At 49.1% G+C, this 24,741-nt stretch overlaps 1 protein-coding gene and 1 long non-coding RNA gene across 2 annotated transcripts in view, besides 2 other annotated features; one reads left to right on the forward strand and one right to left on the reverse strand.

Annotated features, from left to right (window-relative positions):
• The first annotated feature begins 4,324 nt into the window (after positions 1–4,324).
• NUTM2A (NUT family member 2A) lies at positions 4,325–13,855 on the forward strand. The gene is made up of 7 exons (NM_001099338.2): positions 4,325–5,089; positions 7,140–7,839; positions 9,797–9,925; positions 10,898–11,037; positions 11,480–11,862; positions 12,350–12,466; positions 12,800–13,855. Exons 1-7 carry the CDS (start codon positions 4,708–4,710, stop codon positions 13,583–13,585), a joined length of 2,637 nt encoding a protein of 878 aa, NP_001092808.1. The 5' UTR covers positions 4,325–4,707; the 3' UTR covers positions 13,586–13,855.
• Positions 6,323–7,097: an enhancer, noted in NCBI's record as "H3K27ac-H3K4me1 hESC enhancer chr10:88987203-88987977 (GRCh37/hg19 assembly coordinates)". NCBI's record gives its function as "activates a minimal SCP1, AML or CMV promoter by ChIP-STARR-seq in primed H9 embryonic stem cells {active_cell/tissue: H9 hESC(primed)}" and the evidence as "EXISTENCE:reporter gene assay evidence [ECO:0000049][PMID:30033119]".
• Positions 7,872–8,646: an enhancer, noted in NCBI's record as "H3K4me1 hESC enhancer chr10:88988752-88989526 (GRCh37/hg19 assembly coordinates)". NCBI's record gives its function as "activates a minimal SCP1, AML or CMV promoter by ChIP-STARR-seq in naive H9 embryonic stem cells {active_cell/tissue: H9 hESC(naive)}" and the evidence as "EXISTENCE:reporter gene assay evidence [ECO:0000049][PMID:30033119]".
• A 3,688-nt stretch (positions 13,856–17,543) lies between the features above and the next one.
• NUTM2A-AS1 (NUTM2A antisense RNA 1) overlaps positions 17,544–24,741 on the reverse strand; it is a 103,892-nt gene continuing 96,694 nt past the window's right edge. Inside the window, exon 6 of the long non-coding RNA NR_024397.1 lies at positions 17,544–17,749. This is a non-coding gene — a long non-coding RNA (NUTM2A antisense RNA 1). The remainder of the gene's footprint in view (positions 17,750–24,741) is intronic.

A 24,741-nucleotide genomic window follows, 5' to 3' on the forward strand; every position in this document is an offset into this window, starting at 1 on the left:
TATCCCCAAATACACATACAGTTCCACAATACCTGCACATATGTAATCACACTTCCAAATGCTCACACAGAAATAACTCCTCCATCTTCCAAGACACAGAATCATATAAACTCCACCTCATAACTGCACACATTCATCCTACCAGTCCCCCAGTAGACATGGATCTGCCCTCACACATTGAAATAGCCATACACACCCCCTGAAAATCATGAAAAGAAGCACGCATCACCATGCAACATGCCCCGAGTATACAAATGGTCTTCCTACATTTCCCAAATACGTAAACCAAACAGAGCGTACATCCACAAAATAGACACAAGCACTTTCTCTGTTATTGCCCATGTGCACAAGATAATTCTTCCAAATCTGCCAAACATTAGACAAATACAAATCGCCAACATTCATCTGAGAAAACACATGGAAAATACATCTTCACAACCCAAATCACAAATATATAACCCCAATTCTTCTGGTATACATATCTTACATCTCATATTCTCCAAATATAAACTCTCACTCCTACACACTCTCACAAAAACAGTTATGACCTTCTTTTTTAGGGGGCGGGGAATGGAGTCTCGCTCTGTCGCCCAGGCTGGAGTGCAGTGGCACGATCTGGGCTCATTGCAACCTCCGCCTCTTGGGTTCAAGTGATTCTTCTGCCTCAGCCTCCCGAGTAGCTGGGACTACAGCCATGCACCACCACACCCAGCTAATTTTTGTATTTTTAGTAAAGACGGGGTTTCACCATGTTGGTCAGGCTGGTCTCAAACTCCTGACCTCAGGTGATCCACCTGCCTCGGCCTCCCAAAGTGCTGGGATTATAGGTGTGAGCCACCGTGCCCGGCCCAGTTATGACATTCTTTAATCTGCAGTCTCCACACAGACACCACCAACCCACACATGTGAATACATATTAGATTCTCACCAATTAAATACATATCAAATTCCAAACTAAGAATTCATATAAACATATTTTCACATACACAAAACCACCCGCACAAATCTCACACCCTCCAAAATCCAAAATAAATCTTCCTGACATTCTCAAGTACACACTAACCCAACCACCCAAGATAACACACGTGTGTGCAGTAAATTTTAGATACATGTGTAGCTACAATTTACAAATAATATACCACTACTTTTTATTTGTAAATCCCACATAAGTAAGCAATTCTCATGGAAGCTTTTCTTGACTTTGGCCACACTCTTGCATCCACAACCAACTTGTGCTACCAAGTGAACAAACTATGACTAAAGGACTGTTCTTCCACTTTGCAGCTGCTCCTATCAGTGACAAATCAGCGTATTAGAACATGCATGCTGGTTGATCATTCTGATCAAGTCAACAAGCTTCACAACTTACTCAATGAGGTCGTCCGTGAGAACTTCACTGTTTTACGGGGACAGGAGCTACTTCTTTGCTGAACTGCATCACGGTTTCAACTGCTGAGGTTTTCTTCAAGCTTTTGCATTGTTTGGAATGTGAAAGGCACGGCCGAGACACACTTTGAGGTTCCCACTGCATTGTTACACCTCCCCCCTCACTTCAGGGCCAGGTGAGCAAGGGAAAGGAGTGCGGCCTGGGCGTCCCGCAGGGCCCCCACTAGGAAAGCTATGAACGCTCCCGCCTTGAGCACAGCCACAGGCCTGCTCTGGTCACAATGTGGGGTCGCCCCGCAGACACTGGTGACCAGTGGGAGCATGACCAGGAGGTGATTACCTTCTGATCACCCTTGGCTTTATTTTTAGGTAACACCAAGAAGGACGCCATGAGAGCGAAGGCCATTGGGTAACCACCCTTTGCTCTCGCGCTGCGCGTCTCCCTGCCATCAACCGCCACTGGGAGCGGTTGAGGGCGGCCGGCCTCGCGCTGGAACCTTGCCCGCCTCAAGGCTCCTGCGGCGGCGCACGGGGCAGGCCAGGAGCCCGCCCTAGGAGGGCCCCGCTGGAGATGTGGAAATGGAGGGACGCGGCACCTGGGCGCTTCCTGGGGCCAGACAACGCCCCCTCATTGGAACCTCCATGACCGTGCCTCTGAGAAACCAGCGCGTCTGCGACGATCACTCCTAATTTTCGGTAATACAAACCTGCAGTCCATGCACTTAGGTAACACCCTTGCTGAAAGGTTTACCTTTGGAGGGTTTATCCTAAAGCAAAGTATCCTCGAATTGCATGTCTTGCATTCCCTTTGGATGGCATTGATTTCATTCCTGCTCATGCCTTTCAAAAAACAGTATGCCCTGTTTTCCTACTCAGTCTGGAGGTTCCATTAAAGAGTATTTCTGGCAAAGATTTTTAGACCTGAAAACACACTCCAAAATATACTTTCTTCTGACTCCATTCCCAGAGTTTTTCCTACCGCATTCAAATGATTTCTAGAAATGTTTTTGTTGTAGCCTTGATCAATTTCAGTCGATAAAGCAGCAGATAGTAAGGGAACAATTCCACGCTCCCCACCCCTGACTCTGCAACACAGTGCAGAATTCCAGTTGGCAATAAAAAACTAGTAGAGAAGGAACTCACTGACTTCAGTTTGTAATACCGTCAGAAGAAACTTTAATCGTCACATCCTTTCTGCTCATTTGCAGGATTCCTATCATCTGTCTCCACGTGATAACACTGAAGAGCCTTCACGTTGATGCAGGCCCAGGGCCTCAAGTGCAGAGACTGAGAGCTCTGCAGGACACAGCATGGAGCCGCCATTCCTCTATGGGTGGAAGAGCATGTGTCCTCTGAACAGGGGATCCAAGCACTGAGATATTCTTTCTCAGCTGTCAGTGCGGCCCAGGACTTTCTGTGGGGATGCTCAGACAGCAGGGGCCGGAGGACTTTTAGCCAACACCTAAAATGGTCAGTCTTCACAAATTACCTTTGGCTAATTTGACTGTCTCTCCTCCTGGGGTCTAGGACTTCAAACATGTACAGAAGCGATTGCAGAATTAAGACAAGACACTTCCACAATATATTTTTTGTATCACTGGCTCAGAAAAAGACTCATTCAAATCCTGTATCAAAGCCACGTGTGAGAATCTTGAGAAAGCATCAGCTGACTGACTTGACAAGGGAGGAAGCAACCAAAAATTCTGCGCTTCTTCAGTATCTGAGTATGATATTTTGCTTCAACATCCCTCTTAGATGAAGTTATTGATTGAAAATCATTTAAGTTTGCCCCATGGTAAAAGATCAAGTCCTCAGAAAGATCTCCAAAGTGTTTACGGTTTGTTTTGTTTTGGTAAGTTTACCATGATTTTGCTTGAATTGCTCTCCGTTGATCTTCTCAGCTAAGATGGAGGTAGAGTTGCACAGTAGAAGAGGGCTGCATGTAAGAAGGCAGTTCTGTCTCAGAGGACAAAAGGCCTGGGAGCACCCAGACAGACAGTCACTGCATGGAGGTCACTCCCCTCCCAGTGGCCACTGTGGAGACATTTCACAGAAATGCTTGCTGGACCATTCAGGTTCAGAGTTGGGACAAAACCGAGAACTCATGGGGATATTGGACAGGAGTTAGGAAATGACCTTCTCACACAACTGGGGCAGTGGGGGAGAACCCTGGGCTTGAGACTTGCAATCCACCACTTGCCCCTGCCCCTGCCCCTGCAGTGTGGCCGCTGTTACCTTTTCCTGCAACTCTGCCTTCTTGAGTCCAAATGTCTTCGAAAGGGGCAAATGCTTCGTAAGTGCCGACAGGGTGTGTTTCAGTGAATGTTTGCAGTGTGCACCGGTCTGGCTGAAGGCCTCTTCCCTTCCCCAACACCCTCCCATCGTGCAAAATTACCCTGCCCAGCAGGGAGTGACTTGTGTGTCTCAGAAGATTTTGTTGCTGTGCTCTGAGTTCTCACTCCTCATCTCCTTTGACCAGTTTCTTCTAATACTCCCCTTGTTCACAACACAGAACATGAGTGCTCTTTCCTATCATTTTGACACTAATAAACGGACAGTGATTCTCAGTGTGGAAATGAGAATGAAGTTTTTTTTAAAGACAGGCTACAATAATTCCCATGCAGAGAACCACATGCGATGACACTGGATTCCAAACAGCAAGAACGTATGGTGAAGATGAGGCCAACAGTGAGCTGAGAGAGGCCAGCCAGGGTGTGTTTCAGTGAAGATGAGAAACAATCAGATAACACCTGTTTCCTCCAGGAAAGAAAATGTGGCCAGGGAAAAGAGATGGGAGGAAGGCTGGTCATTGCCTATTCCACTGTGCACAGTTTGAATTTGGAGCCATGAAAAGTATTGCTTGGTTAAATTAAAATCATTCAAAAGATAAAACATAAACATTTAACACCAGCACAATATGCTGGGAAACAAAATGAAAGGATTTCTGGTCTCGGTGCTGTAGGTCACATAGCCACTCTTTCCTGGATTGAGGCTTTCCAGCAAAGGGGCTGGGACGTAAGGCTGGCCTGCTGGTGTGGACAGAGATTCCAGCAACATGCATGACCTGGGGGTACAAGGATTGCTTCCTAAACAATGATAAGCACACAGCCACCTAATAGTCTGGATCGGCTGAGACCATCCTGATTTCAAACACCCAGTCCCCTTGCCTTCCTAAGAACCCCTGTGTTTCTCAGACTGAAAATGTGTTTTGAACTTTGTTCACGAAGTGAGGCCGCTGTTGAAATTCGTCAAGACTGGGAAAGAGCCAAAGTGGGAAGGAGCATGGGTTGATTGGCACAAAAGTAGGTCTGCTGATAAAGAATGGAAGTAAAGGGGCCATCAGGTAGAAGCTTTTGCTGTGAGTCAGAAGGACAATTTAAAAGTTGCCTAAAGAGGCACACGCCATCTCTGCTGCTGCCTTCCAGTTGGAAGGGAAACTCAGGTTCTTGCCTAATGGCCAAAGCCCTTCACAGAATGTCCCCCACCCCTAACAGCTGCCCACTGCCCCTCCCCCTCTGCAGAATGTCTGGGGTCCTATGTTCCAGGAACCTGTTTACTTTCAAATTTTCCCTGTTTCAGTTGGACTCAGGAGCATCTGGTGAGCCAGGTCACTCTCTGGGTCTTACCCTTGGCTTTTCTCATTGCGGAAACTGCCAGACAGCGGTGGTCAGTGCCCAGCCTGAGGGGATGGCTTCAAATGGAGGTAAGCCTGTAGGGATGGGGGCATTATCTGAGTCTGCCATGCCTCAACTCCTTAGGAATTCAAATTTGACACTGCCCCGGGGACAGTTGATAGGGCTGATGTTGAGGAGGGAGGGAAGACTGGATGTCCCCAAGGACATCACACCTGGGGATGGCCATGGCACCCTGAGTCTGTGTTTAGGGAGGACGGCCCCTTAGAGGTGGAACAAGATGCCTGGGGGAATACACCGTGTAGGAGAAAGGACAGAGTGGATGGATTGATCCTTTCTAGAAGGAGACAGGTCACGTCATTGTGTGTTTGTAGGGAGTGGTGGGATCATGTTGTGCTGGTGGCCCCGGGAGGATGATAGGCAAGCCTGAACCCTGTGCCATATCTTCAGGCACCTGGAAGGTGCCCTTCCATAGTGTTCAGAGAGATTTGGACTGGAGTTTTCTAGATCTTAGGGAGGAGTGGGGAGAAGTGGTCTCAGCCAGAAAACTGTTGGGTGGGTTGGCTGTGACAGAGCATGTAGTGACAGCCCCTGGGTGGGCGAGGCTGGGGGCTGCTGTAACTGCCACAGCCCAGAGCCCCTCAGCTCTCTCCCTAGAGATGGCTTCTCCATCAGTTCAGGTAGCTGTTGGCTTTGATTTAACAGGGGTGGGGGCAGATGAGGAAGTTCAGGCAACACAGGGCCTGGGTTTCCTGAGTTGTTCTGAATTGTTTGCCCTTTTGTGGAAGCTCAGGTCTTCAGACCCACTTCCTCTTGTCTGCTAGCTCATGGCCTGTCCTCTGCACTTTGTGTTACTGTGGAGATGAAGAATTTGCTCCTATTCCATTTATACTACCTCATGAACGGGGGGCAGGTGTGGATTCTTGCTGGTTCTCAGTGGAAGGGTCTGGAAAGGCTGGTTTCCTTTTCAGTAGAGGAAGGAGAGTAGCGCACGAATAGGAAGATGGTTCTCTTATTATTATTATTCAAGTTAGGATACGTGTCCTGAATGATGAGGTGCATGTGCTGTATCCCTTATTCCCCTTGACTAGAGACTGCATGAGGTCCTATTGAACAGGGATGAGTTCCAGACAACTTTGCCTCACCCGGCCCATGGCCCAAGAACCCCTGGTTTTTGGTTGGTCACTATGTTCAGTCATTGGGAGCTCAAAGGAGAAGGGCCAGGGATGGGCTCCTTGTCCCACTACCTATTGTAACATGACCAGCAGCTGTGAAAATCCCTAGACACCTCCCCTGTTAGCTCTGCTGCTCGCCATTTGCTGGCTGTGTTCTAATCGTGTGTGGCTTTTGCTGGCTATGCAGTGACACTGTCTCAGGGGACTCCACCACTGCCTCTCAGACCTGCTCCCTGGGAACAGAGCTTCCTGAGTGGCAGCCGGGACCATCGAGTACTGCGGAAAGGGTGGCCCGAATCTGACCCCTATTTAGCACTTGCTGTGGGTGGTGCCAGGACAATCACTTGCATGCTGGGCATGACGAGTTATGGATTATCTTCAGGGTTCCTAGGGCGCTGGCTTGGGAAAGATTTCCATCCAGTGGTTTTGTTTTGTTATGTCTGAGCTGGGAAAGAAAGGGGTTTACAAGAGCGTCAGGAAAAGGAAGATTGAAGAGGAGATGGGGCCATAATATTCGGAAGCTTCTGGCTTCCTGTCGGCCTTCTGAGTGCCGAGCACTGCCCTGGGGTAGGCCCCTCACCTGTTGCTGAGCACGCTGAGGACCACCAAGCCGCTGAGAGACTCATCCCTGACCCATGGCTTGGGAGATGCCTGTGAGGCTGACAGGGTCTGCCAGGGACACCCGAGGGAGACCCTCGGGCAGCGAAGGCTTGGCTGTTACTTCTTGGGAGACAGGGGTCAGGGAGTCTTGGTGACCGGGGCCAGGCTCTCTAGTGGAGCGACTCTCCGTGGAGGAACAGAGCATCCGATGCACACTCAGGGACATTTGCAAGCTGCAGTTTCCCTGTCATACGCCCTTAGCTGTTGGGACTCCCCTCTGATTCCCCAGTGACTAGTGTGGACCTGGAGACCCCAGCTCATTCACCTCTTTCCTTTGTCTCCACAGCATACCCAGCGCTGGGACCGGGCGTGACCGCGAACCCTGGCACCTCCCTGTCTGTGTTCACGGCTCTGCCCTTCACCACACCCGCTCCCGGCCCAGCACACGGGCCGCTCCTTGTGACTGCAGGGGCTCCTCCAGGCGGCCCTCTGGTGCTGTCTACCCTCCCCAGCACACCTCTGGTGACAGAACAGGATGGCTGCGGCCCGAGTGGGGCCGGGGCTTCCAACGTCTTTGTCCAGATGAGGACAGAGGTGGGGCCTGTGAAGGCCGCTCAGGCGCAGACCTTGGTCCTAACTCAGGCCCCCCTCGTCTGGCAGGCTCCAGGCGCCCTCTGCGGAGGTGTTGTGTGTCCACCTCCCCTACTCCTGGCAGCTGCTCCTGTGGTGCCTGTTATGGCTGCCCAGGTGGTTGGGGGCACCCAGGCCTGTGAGGGAGGCTGGTCCCAGGGCCTTCCTCTTCCACCACCACCACCACCGGCTGCCCAGCTGCCCCCCATTGTGTCCCAAGGGAATGCTGGGCCATGGCCACAAGGGGCTCACGGAGAGGGCAGCCTGGCTTCCTCCCAGGCCAAGGCCCCGCCAGATGACTCCTGTAACCCCAGGAGTGTCTATGAGAACTTCCGACTCTGGCAGCACTACAAGCCCCTGGCCCGGAGGCACCTTCCCCAGAGTCCTGACACCGAAGCGCTTTCGTGCTTCCTCATGTGAGTGTCCTCGGGGCATTGGAGCTGGTCCTGCAGCTCACACGTAAAGAGGCTGCTGGATGGACGGGAGGTCACGCTGTTCAGGGGAGCTTGCAGGGCGGTTGTGAGGGTGATGGGCTGCACTATGGGAAGGTATATTTTTGACCATATTAATCTGGCTGCGGCTCAGGACAGACTGTCAGGGGCCTCATCTCAACTGCCCGTCACTGTCCCGTGAGTCCAGCCAATCCTTACTTTCAATAATTTTCACAACAATGTTTACAGAAGACCCAGGTCAGAGAGGGTTCCTGGTGTGACGTGAGCTACGGTTTGGGTTTAGGTCTTTGAGTACACGCCCCAGTGCCTCCCCTTTAACCCAGTATTGATGGCCAGGAGCACCTCACATGGGGCCGGGGGGAGGAGCTGCAGGACCCAGCAGGAACCTGACACATGCCCGCAGTTCCGCTGAGGTCCAGTTAGCACAGCGGTGGTGGAGCCTGCACAGGGGGATGGTCTTGGGCCCTGCACTGGGGCCGATGCCGAGCAGGTATTTGCATCTTCACCCTCAATCCCTCCTAGAAAAAGGGACAATGATGCTTCATTCAGAGGATGGTGAAGAGATAACTTGAGCTCACATATGACATGCATAGCACAGTGCCTGGCACATGCTATGACACATTACATGACAGCAGTTATGATTACTGTCCCCATTACTATCATTATCAAGACTAGGCCATCTAGGAGAGCACTCCCCAAAGCCACGGGCTCCAGTGATAGCTCTGAGTGCACCATGAGTCCAGCAGCCCAGGGCCATGGACTGTGGTGACTGTGAGGCAGCAACGTCAGCATCTGGGAGAGTTTGTGGTTTCATTCCCAGTCCCTGCCTCTCTCCACCCTGCGGTGCCTCTGTGACCCTGTGTTTCCCGCTGATGAGCAAACGGGAGCTTGAGCACATCCACCGTGCAACACACTGGCCGTTCCCCTAGGGAAGTCCCCTGCCTGGGGTGTAGGTGGAAGGTGGCCCCATTTTCATCCCCCAAAATCTCGCTGTTCCCGCACCCTGGAACTGGTTGCATTCCTCCTTGGAGCGGAGTCCCGGTGCACTGGGGACCCTGATTCTTGGGGTGGAGCTGCCCCAGGCTCACAGGCCTTTGCCATGGCTCCTGTGGGAATGTGGGATCTGGACCTGCTGCTTGCAGTGGCGTGGACACCGCTCTGCTTTGGTTCTGGACGTGTGCTCCTGCTCCTCATGCTCCAGGGCCCTGAGGCTACGTCCCCAGGGGCTGCCTTGCTCCAGAGTCCCCAGGAAGCCGGTTAAATGCTCAGTCTTGGGGCCCTGGAACCTGCACTTTAACCCTCACCCCCAGGTCATTCTGTGTGCACGCTGTCTCAGTCAGCTCAGGCTCTGCCGTAACGAATGCCGTAGACTGGGTGCTTTATCAAGACACATTCATGTCTCCCAGTTCCAGAGGCCAGAAGTCCCAGATCAAGGTGACAGCAGATCGGGTGTCTGGTCAGGGCCCTCCTCCTGGCTGGAGAGAGCTGTCTCTGGCTATGTCTCCTCGTGGCTGAGAGCAAGAGCCCTGGCGTCTCCTTCTGCCCTTATCAGGGCTTGGATTCCATGACTGGGACCCACGCTCATGACCTGCTTTAACCCTGATTGCCTCCAAATACTGACACATTGGTGCTGAGGACTTCAGCACAGGAATGTTGGAGACACACATGTTCCACCCATAGTACTGAGTCCACTTCTCAACACTGAGGACTCGAGGGGCAGTCGGAGAGGCCACTTGGTAGCTTGTGTTGATGTTTGATCTTGGGGGTGTGTCCTGGGGCCTGAGGAGCCCACATGGGGGAGAACAGGACAGGGACAGATGGCAGGACAGGTGTGGGGAGGACAGGGGCCAGGTGTTGGGACCAGGTGGGCTTGGGATGAAGGGTGGGCTTATAGACTGAGACTGACTGCACTGGTTTACAGCCCAGTTCTCCGATCCCTGGCCCGGCGGAAGCCCACCATGACCCTGGAGGAGGGACTGTGGCGGGCCATGCGGGAATGGCAGCACACGAGCAACTTTGACCGGATGATCTTCTACGAGATGGCGGAAAAGTGAGTCTGGGGTCCTGGGAGCGGGGCCCGCGTGGCAGGGTGAGAGTGAATGACAGAGGCCCGGTGGCCATGGTGGCTTCTCAACGTGGAGTATGAGGAGGGTGTGGAGAAACCCAGGACACTCTGGGCCCCTGGCTCCCTCAGGAAGCTGCTCCTGCCACCTAGAGTGTTCTGGGGTCTCTGTCCTGGCCTATTGGGAAGCACCCCCTGCCTGGCCTGGGGCCATCCCTGCCTTGACACTGGAGGTCATGGCAGGAGCAGCCAGCATCACAGACCAAAGTGGGTCACCTCCAGCTGTGGGGATGGGGAGAAGGGGCGCTAGTGACTATGGACAAGAGTAGGGTGCAGGCTCCTCACAGCAGTGGCCAGAAGTCGGTTTTCTCCCATCCCAGCCTGGCCAGGGAGTTGGGTTGGGGAGACCTGCACCTGGGACACCATGGGACCCATCTCTGGCCTGACTGCCTTTGCTCCTGGGCAGTCCCCTCCATGAAGGCAGACAGATAGACAGCAGCCTCAGGGGAAAGGGGCCCTGTCCTCTGAGCTCAGCTTTTGCTTCCTCCTGACCAGGGGTCTCCCAGGCCTCGTGCCCCTGGGTTATCTTTCAGGGGCCCACAGTCCTAGCCTCAGGACTCCTGCATCTGGGCATCATCCCTGATGCCTTCTGCCATAAATCCCACCCCTGGCCAGCTGAAACCTGGAGGAGGGGTCCCCCGAGACCCTCCTGGACCTCGTGGCCCTGAGTTGAGTCAGGAAGCCCCGTTGATGCCATGGGCTCTGCAGGGGCCGGGTGAGGGAGGGTGAGCCCAGAACTCTGGGAGCAGCTTTCTCCTGGGACTGGGGGATGGGACACAGTGAGGGCCTGGACAGCCCACCCGAGGCACTCCCTCCCATCCCTGCCCTCGGCCGCTGCCTGGTCCTGGGGGGAGGGGGCCTGGACCCTCTCAGCACAGCCTGGGCCTCCTTCACCGCCAGGTTCCTGGAGTTTGAGGCTGAGGAGGAGATGCAGATTCAGAAATCGCAATGGATGAAGGGGCCCCAGTGCCTGCCTCCTCCAGCCACACCGAGGCTTGAACCTCGAGGACCCCCGGCCCCTGAGGTGGTCAAGCAGCCAGGTATGGCTTCCCACATTCCCACAGGAGCCATGGCAAAGGCCAAAGGGGCCAAGGGAGGCCACTGTCCCCACACCCCATGCTTCCCTTCGAGAGGGGGATTTGCTCCCTCCAACAGGACAGTTTCCAGGAGCATATGTTCGGTATTGACCTGGTCAAGTTTCCTAGCTACTCTCTCCCCTCGCCTGTCCAAAACTCCACATATGCTCTGCCCAGGAAGCAGGGATGAGCGGGGAGAGTACACGGCATATTGGTGGCTCCAAACTTCCTCCCAAGCGATGCTGTCTCAGATGTGCCCCTCCTGCCTCCTCCGGGGGCGCTGCGGTTCAGGTGGTCCTGACCCAGCTGGGACCCACTTCACATCCCCAAGCCCTGCCCTCCCCTGTGTGGTGCCAGCAGGAGGAGCGGCCCTCACCACGCCCGTCCTCCTCCCTCTCTGCCTCAGTGTACCTTCCCAGCAAGGCCGGCCCCAAGGCCCCGACTGCCTGCCTGCCACCACCCAGGCCCCAGAGGCCAGTGACCAAGGCCCGCCGGCCACCACCCCGGCCCCACCGGCGAGCAGAGACCAAGGCCCGCCTGCCACCACCCAGGCCCCAGAGACCAGCAGAGACCAAGGTCCCTGAGGAGATCCCCCCAGAAGTGGTGCAGGAGTATGTGGACATCATGGAGGAGCTGCTGGGGCCTTCCCTCGGGGCCACGGGGGAGCCCGAGAAACAACGGGAAGAGGGCGAAGTGAAGCAGCCACAGGAAGAGGACTGGACGCCCCCAGACCCGGGCCTCCTGAGCTACACTGACAAGCTGTGTTCCCAGAAAGACTTCGTCACCAAGGTGGGCTGGCCTGGAGTGCTGGGGTCTGCTGGATTCCAGGGGGTGGCACTCCCAGGTCCTTGGAATTAAGCTCTGTTCCTTAGCTACTCAGCAGTGTGTGTATTTCCATGGATTTGAGTATCTGTGTATGTGATTGTGTGTGTGTCTGTGTGTTGCTGTGTGTTTGTGTCTGTGGTTTGTTACTGTGTGTCTTTGTGTGTCTGTGTGGGTGTGAGTGTGGAGTGTGTACGTTACCTGTGTCTGTGTCTTTTCCTGTGTCATATGTGGGTCTGTTTGTGTGTCTGTGTGTGGTTTGTGTGTCTCTGTCTGTGTGTGTGTAGCTACCAGGTCTGTGGTCTGTGTCTGTAGCTGGTGGTCACCATGATATGAGACAGCCCCAGGAGGGTGGGGACGGGGCGCTCGCTGCTTTCTGCATCTCCTCCAGGTGTCCTTGGCTCCAGGTTACTCCCTGCCCAGGAAGCTCACGCCTTCTTCCTTCTGTTTCCAGGTGGAGGCCGTCATTCATCCCCAATTCCTGGAAGAATTGCTTTCCCCAGATCCACAGATGGATTTCTTGGCCCTAAGCCAGGAGCTGGAGCAGGAGGAAGGACTCACCCTTGCCCAGGTACCCCAGGGGCAGGAGGGACCTGGCACACAAGGCCCACCTGATTGTCTAATCCCCCCTGCTGGGGATGCTCGGCTTCTTGGGGAGCCACTCTGGAGTGGGAAGATGCAGGTTCAGAGGGAGTAGGATGGACAGGAGCCAGGGAGGGGAGTCAGCATGCAAGCTGTGGTGAGGCCCAACGGGAGGCCCGGCAGAGCCACACCCTCTCTCTTTGACATAAAGCCCAGCTGCCTCAGGCTTCCCTACCTGCCGCCTAAGTGCCCTGGTCTCCACCACCCTGGGCCCCGCTCACACCTGGGGCAGTGCCCGTAAGTGCCCCCTTTCCTCCCGCAGCTAGTGGAGAAGCGCCTCCTACCCTTGAAGGAGAAACAGCATGCGAGGGCAGCCCCTAGTCGTGGCACAGCCCGGTTGGACTCAAGTTCTTCTAAGTTTGCAGCTGGCCAAGGAGCAGAGAGAGACGTCCCTGTCCCCCAACAAGGGGTTGGCATGGAAACCTGCCCACCCCAGACGACTGCCCGGGACTCTCAGGGACGAGGCAGAGCACACACTGGCATGGCCAGGTCCAAAGACTCTGTTGTGCTTTTGGGATGTCAGGATTCCCCTGGGCTGAGGGCTGCCCGGCCAACCTCTCCTCCCCAGGACCACAGACCCACCTGCCCTGGCGTGGGTACCAAGGATGCCTTGGATCTCCCTGGAGGGTCTCCTGTCAGGGAGTCACATGGGCTGGCTCAGGGGTCAAGTGAGGAGGAGGAACTCCCCAGCCTGGCCTTCCTCTTGGGTTCCCAGCACAAGCTTCTGCCCTGGTGGCTACCCCAGAGCCCTGTCCCTGCCTCGGGCCTTCTCAGCCCAGAAAAGTGGGGACCCCAGGGAACTCATCAGTTCCCATCTGCTGAGAGAAGAGGCCTCAACCTAGCACCTTCTCCTGCCAACAAGGCCAAGAAGCGACCTCTCTTTGGAAGCCTGTCCCCTGCTGAAAAGACACCCCACCCAGGGCCTGGGCTCAGGGTCTCTGGGGAGCAATCCCTGACTTGGGGGCTGGGTGGCCCCTCACAGTCTCAAAAGAGAAAGGGTGACCCCTTGGTCTCCAGGAAGGAGAAGAAGCAGCGTTGTAGCCAGTAGGGGCTTCTGAGCAGGCTCTCTGGGGCCGATCCCCAAGGATGGGGCTCTGGCATCCGATGCCCCAAAGCGGTCAAAAGCTTCTTCTCCCCCAGTGCTGATCTTGCTGGGCCTTAGCTTTGGAGGGTAGGGGAGGGAGGGGAGGGAGAGGGTGGCTGAATGGGGAGGGCAGGAAGGGAGGGTCTGGGGGGAAGGGGCTGGGGAGTGGGGGTGGGAAGCAGTGCGTTGGGGGCCTCGTGTGTAAGTGTGAATAAATGTAGTTGTCTTGGAAAATGCTCTTGGGGCTGCTGCCTCTGTCCTCGGTGCTGTGCTGCTCTGTGGAGGGTGTCTGTGAGGGAGGGCAGAGGAACCGGCAGATGCCAGGCTCTGGGAACCCACAGGGGCCGGCCCCACTCTTTCCTCCTGACGTAGGGAGCCCCTTCAGATGCTCCAGGGACTGACAGATGCTGAGGAAGCCCTGATCCCTCCCACCACCCACTCACAAGGCCCTGCCTGCTTTAGGGAGGCTTCTTGGGGCCCCCCCATCGTTATCAGCATCCCTGGAAAATCCTGGGATTGGAGAGAGCTGGCTGGCTCTTGTTCTGCTCGGTGGGAGCTGAGGAGAAGGCAGCCGCCTGCAACATGGACATGGGGAGAGGAGGCTGCTCCTGCTTAACCCTCATCAGGAAGAGCGCGGGCACTGGGCTGAGGGGAGACGTTGAGGTGACCATCCACACAGGTGTGTTTGGGATACGATGATGGGTGGGGAGCAGGGGAAGTCCTTCTGCCTGTTTCTGGGCAGGAGAGAGTCTTGTCCAACTAGCTAAAGCAGATGCTCCTTGCTGTGGCCACAGGGACTGGCCTCGGGGCCCTCAAGGTCCTGCATGGAGCCCCCCACAGCTATGATTCCCTTCCCATATGATGACTGAACTCATGTGGAATTGATGTAGACACAGATTTACATTGGTTTCTAAAACAGTTCCCTCCCAACACACCATCACCAATGGGAACAAGCATGTCCAGTCCATCAGGCGCAGGGTGGGTGTTTCTGCTGGTTCCAGGGCCCGGAGGAGCTGGGGCCCAGGCCAAGAGGGGCCGAGGGTCTGCCGCCCTTCTGCCAGGCACAGACCCCAAGGGCAGAGCAGGGGCTGCCTGGGATGTGGCATTGGCTGTCTGGGAAGTGCCCTGGGAGTTGGGGGCTAGGTGTTCGCCAAAGAGAGACTTCCAGAGTCTATGAGTGAGATGAGGACTGCATCAGGAGAGGGACCGAGGCTGGGGAGGATGCTCTGCTCTTTCCCAGGTTGTCCTGTCTTCCCAATCTCTGCTGAACTGCCCTCACCCCATGGGCCAACTCTGCCCCCCTTACCCCTAACCCACCTCTTAGAATCTCAGATCCCAGCGTGGACAGGACCCGGCACCCACCCTGGTTCCCTCCTGGCCAACACCTTCTTCTCCACGGTCTGAGTTCTGATTCCTCCCCCAGGGCGCTTATTGGCTCAGGACCCCTGTGACTGCCAGGGCACTGGTCCCAGCACTGCCTGCGTGCAGAGCTGTGGTCACGGCCCTGGGGGCTGGCCCAGCAGCAGAGGCTGGTGGGGCAAAGCTGTCTGGTACACGGTGGCCTGGCCCCTCGGCCAAGTGACAAAGGGAGCCATGTTTGGGTCCTCTCTGGCCCCATCTGCCCACAGAACACAGCAGTCAGCCTGACAGATGCCCCTCTGCCCCGTCCCTTCTGCTCGATGTGGGCAGTGTCGGAGGCCTGCTGTCTTCTGTGGCCTTTGGGAAGGAGAGTTTATCTTGGCAGGGCTTCCCCAGCTCAGTGCACGTCAGGCCCTCGGGGAAAATGTGGGGAGCGAAGAGTCACTGGTGGGTGATGTGGGCAGCTCCCGTGACTCCTCTACATTCACGGCCATCCTCAGGAGATAAGGTAGCACTGCCCCTTTGCAGGGTTTAGGAATGTTAAGTGAGCCGTGTTTGAAGGGAACATGGTCCATACTCTGGCGTGTGTGGGTGCCCAGCCAACTTCCTCACCTAAGGGTGAAAGTGACACCTTGGGGCTCCTACTGGTTACCCCACTGGCTGTTGTCTATCCTACTGTCCCTGTCCTTGTCTTGGCTGAGCCATTCCTAGGAAGCAGAACTTGTGCTTCCTCCACCTCTGTGTCCCACCTGAGCCCTACAATCTGCCCCTAAATGGGCACAGTGGGGCTGACTGGGGGGCTCTGGTAGACTGAACATACGTCCCCCGCCCAGTTCCTGTGCTGAAGCCCTAACCCCCAACGTGATGGTATTTGGAAATGGGGCCTTTGGGAGTTATTCAGGGTTAGAAGAGACCATGAGGGTGGGGCCCTAATGATGGGATTAGGGCCCTGGTAAGAAGCAGAGACCCCAGAGCTCTCTCTCTCCCTGACACAAGGACACAGTGAGAAGGCGGCCATCTGCAAGCCAGAGAGAGAGCCCTCACCAGAACCTTGCCCACTGGGATGCTAACCTCGGACTTCCAGCCTCCAGACTGTGACAAATACATTTCTTTTTTTAATATGTGCCACCACCCCCAAGTCTATGGCACTTTGTCCTAGCAGCCCTATGTGACTAGGACAAAGTCCATAATCTCAAGAACTTCCTTCATGACTGGTATCTGGAAACCGTGCATCAGAGCCACGGGAAAGAAAGGCTCAGCCCTTTACAACTGTCAGCACACCTCCACCCCAAGTGCAGTGTATCACACGTGAACCAGGAGAGCCTGGGACGCAGTGAGTTGTGCTTCAGTTAATGTAGAGAACTTCACTGAACCGCACATAACCATTGAAGTAACCTGCTGTTTACAGTCTCCATCATGTTCTGCCAAGAGAGTTATTTTACAGTGACAAAACTTCTCTTCTGGTGCCCTGACACATCCTAGGACTTTGATGCTGGTAATTCTTTCCCCCCAGCAAATTTTGGTTCTAAATCCACAGAACTACTTGAGAAACTAGATGCAAAATTGTAGTAGGTTTAAAATATCAATACTCTTTTTTTTTTTTTTTTTTTTTTTTTAGGCAGAGTCTCTCGCTCTGTCACCCAGGCTGGAGTGCAGTGGCGCGATCTCGGCTCACTGCAAGCTCCACCTCCCGGATTCACGCCATTTTCCTGTCTCAGCCTCCCGAGTAGCTGGGACTACAGGCGCCCACCACCACGCCCGGATAATTTTTTGTATTTTTTAGTAGAGACGGGGTTTCACCGTGTTAGCCATGATGGTCTCGATCTCCTGACCTCTTGATCCGCCCGCCTGGGCCTCCCAAAGTGCTGGGATTACAGGCGTGAGCCACCGCACCCGGCCTATCAATATTCTTTATATGTTTTGCTATTCCCATTTAAAAGAGGGAAACTGTAGCTATACACTTTCTAGTCATGTTCTTTGGTGATTTTCCTGCACAAACCAACATTGTTCTTCAGAAATATAATTTCCCCTAGAATTACCCTCCATCCAAAACATATTGTTATTCTATCACAGAGATAAATAATGGCTTTCCAAATCCTGGTTAAAAAAACCAAACACTCTCTTCTTCTCTGTATTTTTCCAGAACAGGCATAGATGATGGCAATTGTGTTTTACCATCTTTTTTTTTTTCTGAGATGTTAGTTTTCTAGGATATGGAAATCTTAGGATTCATAAAAAATGAAACAACTTTTTGAAATGTTAGTTTTCCAAAATTGGACAATCTTTTTGAGCCATTCTATTTTTAGGACTATTCGTTAGCTGACTTTAGAGCCTTTAATGTTTCGTTATTATTTCAAACAATAGAGAACTTTACTCCCCCCCAAATTTTGAGACAGGGTCTGGCTCTGTCATGCAGGAGGCTGTCTGTAGTGCAGCGGCACAGTCTCAGCTCACTGCAACCTCCGCCTCTTGGGCTCAAGTGATCCTTCCACCTCAGCCTCCTGAGTAGCTGGGACTGTAGGTGCAGGCCACCACATCTGGCTAATTTTAAACAATAGAGAACTTCCAAAACAAAAGTTCTTTATTAATTCTTCAAGAAATCTGTTTTTTACTTAGTCGATTAATGTCCATCTCATGTTGCCTCAATAGCCCATGTATGAATCACTCTTCTTGCAGATTTTGTTCAGTTTTGTTGTATGTAGACCCATCTTTCTTTGAGTTGGTTTCTTTGATTGAGTTGATTTGTCTGTATTAAAACCCAAACAATACCTAAGCCAAAAAAGCAATGTAGGCACCTGTGAACTCACACACTTGGTTGCAATTGCTTCAGTAAAAAGGACAGTTTACACTCAAATTGAAGCAACCATTATGTTTCCACAAACAACATTCCTTATTATCCCACCTCACCTTTTCATTCTTCCTATGCTGTCTAATCTGATTCTGTACAAGAGATAAGGCAGGTACTGCTAAATGATAACTTAGATGCAGGGGCCATCATGAAAATATTCATCCCATATCTTACATTAAGCAAACTACTAGCAACTGTTTGTTAAAAAGTATAAATGAATAAATGAAAATAGGACAGATAGGCAGTGTGGGAAGCTAAAATATGGAAGTGTTATTGCTTTGCTTTATGTGGTATAATGATCTGATTTTATCTTCCCAGCTCTCCCAGGAAGTATGCAGAATAATATTTATCTCATATTGTGGGTGTGGCAATCAAGACAGAGAGGCTAGATGCTTTACCTAAAGTCATCCAACAAATATTTGGTAGAACCAGTGCTAGAATGCAATAAATGGAAACAGAGTTTATTTCGGTGTTTCTTTTCCTGATACTTGCCCTATTCCTGACAAATGAATAATGGCTTCAGAAGGTGTCACTTGTTGCTAGGGCTAAAAGGATAAATTTTACCTGTAATACCGTACCACTTACTATTAGTTAACGACCCAGTATTTATTCTCTTTTTTTCTTTGGAATCTTTGGAATGTGTAAATATTTGCCTCCCGGGAAGCTCACTTTATCCTCTCCTCAGGAAAAAATCCTGATTTGGTCTGAACCAATCTTGGTAACTATCTTTCTTGCCAGTTTTGTTTTAGGAATGGGCACGCAACTCAGTTCTAGCCAACGAGATATGAGGAGCAGTCTACTGGGGAGTTTCTGGGAAAGTTTGTTTTTCTTGTCCTAATAAACAAACAAATAATGGGGTCACTGGATTGGAGATCCTATTGAGTCAAAGGAATATTGAATTTGACACAGTAGAATAGTCTGGAAGGAAAGGAAATGATATTCAGTAAATGAAATGCTGAAAATTGATATTATGAAGGTGGCGCAGTAGTTGTTATTGATTAAATGAAACAGTTGAGATTAAGAAAGTTTAGCCAGGACAAGTTATATAGCACAAATCATTTCAGGTAAGGAAGTTAAAAAAAAACCCTGAGAGGCTAGGAAGTCCTGGCTCCAAACTCCTGCTCCTGCTGGACTTGAGCCCCACTAGCTTCTCATCTTCCACTAATCTATGCACCCCTCCTTTCCCACTCCTCAAAAGCCGAGCTCACTCAACAACTTTAATTTTATTCAAATAAATTATTTACACAGACATTTTGTTTTTAGTAGATGTTATTAGTGATTAGGAAAAATGAAAGAGATTGACATCTTTCAATTGACAGAGATGCCAATAATTTTAAGTATAATTTTTTAAACACTTTGTTCTTAAAATGAGAAAGAAATGTAAGGAAGGGATCACTAGCCTGGGCGTTAGCATGTCCGAATATGATAACTAAACCTGCTGCAATTATCTTGCAACCAGGGAGGAGCTAGCTTGAAAATAAAGCCAACACAGATGACAAGCAGAAAGTGGAAAGAACCTAAGTCGTTGATGATGCTATTGAGCTGATGAATTAAACCTGGAGTGTATGTTCCATGGGCTTCTGTAAGGAATTAAAATATTTTTACTGTTTAAACCAGTGTTTCATTGTTTTCTGCAGAAATCCTAATTGGCATAAAGAAACTATTGACCGACTAACCCCACTGCAACCTCACCTGACCCCTTAGGATGTCCTTTCATGATTTTCTTGATTTTGTTGAAGTTACGTATTGAGAATAATGGAAAATCACAGAAGGTGATTTTCTGATCCCAACTCCTTAGCTATGACCTTGTGTCTCTAGCTCATGATCATGGTTTATGAAGCACGGGAAGGACTGGGAAAAGTAGAAAGTAGGTAGGTAAGATGAGATGTCTGATGATGGAGGTTATTGGGGTCAGGACAGGTGGATAGGCAAGTTGAAGTGTGTAAGCTAAGCAGGAAATGCAAATGAAAATCAGAGAGAAGGTACCCCTTCAGAACAGATTCTTAGAAAGCCATTATTAGAAACATATGGGCCACATCTTTGAGAAAAGTTGTGGAATTCACATTACAGTAATGGCATCACTTAGATTCATGCTCTTCTCTCAGGGAGAGAAATCAATATTTATAGGATATCAAAGGGTCTTCATCATGTGTCTCAGTCTGTTTTTATTGCTATAAACAAATACCTGAGGCTGGGTAATATATAAGGAAAAGAGGTTTATTTGGCTCACACAATTCTGCAGGCTGTACGAGAAGCATGGCACCAGCATCTGCTTCTGTTGAGGGCCTCAGGAAGCCTCCATCGTGGTGGAAGGCAAAGGGGAACCCGTGTGTCACATGATCAGGGAGGAAGAGAGCAAGAGAGGGGAGGAAGGTATCAGATTCTTTTTAACAATAAGATCTCACAGGAAGTAGGAGTGAGAACATAATCCCATGAAGACAGCACCAAGCCATTCATGAGGGATCTGCCCCCGTAACCAAAACACCTCCCAGTGCGCCCCACCTCCAACATTGGGGATCAAATGTCAGCATGAGATTTGGAGGAGACAAACATTCAAACTTTATCATTGTGCTTGTTTTCTTCAGAAATAGACCGAATTGATATGTTTCATGATGACATTATGATCTAAAAATGAGAGTTTATTTCAGTTTGTCCTGTATACACCCAAGAGGTCCAGGATATTATTCTGTCTGTCTACCACAAGTCCTGCAAACTAGAAGATGGCCTTAACAGTCAATCTAGGGTGGTTCTGCCCAATGACCTTTTGTCTTTCCTCAGTGTCTTCCAAAGCACATAGTAATATTCTATCATGAATTATATGAAAGCTGTTTACATGGATTAAACAGTAAATCTGACAAACAGGCTGCTTTTTGATGACTCTAGACATATTTCTTCTTACATTTTAGACATTTGAGAAAAAAAGTCAAATTTCTTAATACTTTATGTTCAATTGAGTTTGAAGCCATAAAGAGGAAGGAAATAATAAGGATTAGAGCAAAAATAAATGAAATAGAGAATAGAAAAACAATAGAATCAATGAAACAAAAAATTAGTTCTTTGAAGAGATCAACAAAGTTGACAAAGCTTTAACTAGATTAAGGAAAAAGAATACTCAACTACTAAAATCAGAAATGAAAGACACTACTACTGATTTATAGGAATAAAAAGGATTGTAAGAGAATTCGTATAAGAGCTATATGTCAAAAAATTGGATAACCTAGATGAAACAGACAAATTCCTAGAAACATACAAACCAACAAAGTTGACTCAAGAACAAAGAATAAATCTGAATAGATCTATAAAAAGTAATGATATTCAATTCTGATTGAATCAGCAACCAAAACTCTCCTAACAAAGAAAAGCCCAGGAACTGATGACTTCGCTGGTGAATTCTACCAAACGTTTAGAAATGAATTAACACTAATCCTTCTCGAACTCCTCCAAAAAGTTGAGAAACAGAACCCTTTCTGAGTCATTCTATGAAGCCAACATTACCCTGATACCAAAGCTAGACAGACAATACAAGAAAACTATAGCCAAATGTCCCCTATGAATGCATTATAGATACAAAAATCCCCAACAAAATACTAGGAAATTAAATTCAGCAGCCCTTAAAAGAATTTTACACTATGACCAACTGAGATTTATCCCAGAAATTTAAGAGTGGTTTAACGTATGAAAATCAGTCGATGTAATACACCAAGTAATAGAATGAAGGAGTGAAAAACTCATGATCATCTCAATTGATATAGAAGAACATTTGAGAAAATCCATTCCTCCTTTATGATAGAACTGTTCAACAAACCAGGAATAGAAAGGAACTGTCTCAACATGATAAAGACCATGTATTAAAAACTCACGACTGACATCATTCTCAATGGGGAAAAATTTCAAGCTTTTCCACTAAAATCAGAAGCCATGGATGCCTGTGTTTGCCACTTCTATTCAACATAGTATTGGCAGTTCTAGCCAGACCCATCAGGCAAGAAAAAGAAATAAAATAAATCCAAATTAGAAAGGAAGAAGTAAAACTATCTCTATTTGCAAGTGATATAAGTGTAGAAAGCCCTAAAGAATACCAAAAATAGCCTCTTAAAGCTAATAAACAAATTTAGCAAGGCTGCAGAATACAAAATCAACACACAAAAATCAGTCGTGTTTCTACACACTAGCAGTACAAAATCTGAAAAGGAAATTAAGAATTTTTTATTTACAGTAGTACCCAAAAGAATAAAATATTTAGAAATCAATTTAACCAGGAAGGCAGAAGACTTGTACACTGAAAACTACAAAGCATTCTGGAAAGAAATTAAAGTAGACTTAAATAAATGGAAAGAGATCCTGTGTTCATAAGTTGGAAGACTTAATATTGTTAAAATGACAACGCTACTCAAAATGATATGTAGAGTCAATGTAATCACGCTAATAAAATCCCAACAGCGCTTTTGGCAGAAATGGAAAAACCTATTCTAAAATTCATATAAAATTTCAAGGAACCCAAAATAGCCAAAATAATCTGAAGAGGAACAAAGTTGTAGGACTCACATTTTCTGATATTAAAATTTACTACATAGCTATAATAATTGAAATAGCATGGACTTGGCACAGAGGTAGACAATATAGACCAATGGAATAGAATCGAGAGGCCAGAACTAACACTCACATCTATGGGTAATTAATTTTCAGCAAGGGTTCCAGGATCACTCAATGGGGAAAAGGACAATCTCTTCAACAAATGGTGTTGGGGAAACTAGATATCCACAAGCAAAAGAATGAAGTTGGACCTATACTTTTACACAATGTACAAACATTAACTGAAAATGGATCAAAGACCAAAATTTAATGCTATAAAACACTTAAATATTAAATGCTATAAAACTCTTAGAGGAAAACATACTGAAAAATCTTCATGACCTTGGGTTTGACAACGGTTTCTTAAATATAACATCAAAAGTACAAGTGATGAAACAACTGATAAATTGGACTTCATCAAAATTGTGTATCAAGTGACACTATAAAGAAAGTGAAAAGATAACACAAAAAATTGGAGAAAATGTTTGCAAATCATACATCTGACAAAAAACTAATATACTCAGGCATTTCTTTATGGCAATGCAAGAATGGCCTAATACAATACCCAAAAGAATTGAATGCATAAAGAATCCTACAACTCAACAAATAAAAGATAAATAACTCAATTTTTTAATGGACAAAATACTTAGACACTTCTCTAAAAAAAAGACATGTAAATGGTCAATAAGCAACTCAAAAGATGCTAAAACCACAATGAGATACCACTTTGTACCTACTAGAATGGCTATAATTAGAAGAAAAAATAACTAGTGTTGTTGAACATGTGGAGAAATTGGAAACCTAGTATACTGCTGGTGGGAATGTAAATGGTTTAACTGCTGAGGAAGATAGTTTGGCAATTCCTCAAAACGTAAAACAGAATTATCACCCAGTAATTCTACTCTTAAGTATATACCGGATATAGTTTGACTGTTTGTTCCTATGCAAATCTCATGTTGAAATGTAATTAATCTCCGGTGTTAGAGTTGGGGCCTGGTGGGAGGTGATTGGATCATGGGAGTGGTTTCTCATGAGTGGCTTCACCATCTCTAGCTGTCATCAAGATTGTGAGTTCTCACAAGATTTGATTGTTTAAAAGTGTGCAGCACCTCCCCACTTCCTCTCTTGCTCTGGCTTTTGCCACGTGACATACCTGCACCCACTTTGCCTTCCATCATGATTGGAAGCTTCCTGAAGCCTCCCTGGAAGCAGATGCTGCTATGCTTCCTGTACAGACTGCAGAAATGTGAGCCAACTAAACCCTTTTTTCTTTGGCACTTACCCAGTCTCAGGTATTTCTTTATATCAATGCAAGAATGGCCTAATACAATACCCAAAAGAATTGAAAACAACAACTTAAACAGTGACTTGTACACTAATGTTCATAGCAGCATTATTCACAATAGACAAAAGGTAGAAACAACCAAAATGTCTATCAAAAGATAAACGGATAGGCCAGGCACGATGGCTCACGCCTGTAATCCCAGTACTTTGTGAGGCCAAGGTGGGCGGATCACCTGAGTTCAGGAGTTCGAGACTAGCTTGGCCAACATGGTAAAACCCTGTCTTTAAAAAACAAACAAACAAAAAGATAAATGGATAAACAAGATGCAGTATATACATACAATTATTATTCAGCCATAGAAAAGAAGAATGGAATACTGATACATGCTATAAGATGGATGAACCTTGAAAACATTATGCTAAGTTAAATAAGCTAGACACAAAAGGATAGTGTATGATACCATTATGTGAAATATTTACAATAGGCAAATTCATAGAGACAGGAGGTAGATTAGAGGTTACCAGAGGTTACCAGGGGCTGGAAGGAGAGGAAAATGGGAGTTTTTGCTGAATAAGCACAGTTTCTATTTGGGGTGATGAAAGGGCTTTGGTAATAGATGGTGGTAACGGTTGCACAACATTGTAAATATAATTAATACCACCAAATTGTACAGTTAAAAATGATTAAAATGGCAAATTGCATATGTCTTTCTCCGTTTGTGTTGCTATAAAGGAATACCCAAGGCTGGGTAATTTATAAAGAAAAGAGGTGTATTTAGCTTATGATTCTGCAGATTGTACAAGAAGCATGGCACTGGCATCCACATCTGGTGAGGGCCTCAGGCTGCTTCCGCTCATGTCAGAAAGGGAAGGCAAGCCAATGTGTGTGGAGATCACATGGTGAGAGAGGAAACAAGAAAGAGGGGGGTAGTGCTAGGCTCTTTTAACAACTAGCTCTTGGCCAGGTGAGGTGGCTCATGCTTGTAATCTCAACACCTTGGGAGGCTGAGGTGGGAGAATCTCTTCAGCCCAAGAGTTCAAGACCAGCCTAAAAAAA

This window comes from Homo sapiens, chromosome 10 (assembly GCF_000001405.40).
Source record: "Homo sapiens chromosome 10, GRCh38.p14 Primary Assembly".
In the NCBI taxonomy this organism is placed as follows: domain Eukaryota; kingdom Metazoa; phylum Chordata; class Mammalia; order Primates; family Hominidae; genus Homo; species Homo sapiens.

Bases quoted from the DNA above. Each gene is read 5' to 3' on its own strand.
- NUTM2A (NM_001099338.2), top strand. From the start codon at position 4,708: ATGGAAGTAAAGGGGCCATCAGGTAGAAGCTTTTGCTGTGAGTCAGAA. The intron at 9,926-10,897 runs GTGAGTCTGGGG...CTTCACCGCCAG, and splicing joins TTCTACGAGATGGCGGAAAA to GTTCCTGGAGTTTGAGGCTG. The intron at 12,467-12,799 runs GTACCCCAGGGG...TTCCTCCCGCAG, and splicing joins AAGGACTCACCCTTGCCCAG to CTAGTGGAGAAGCGCCTCCT.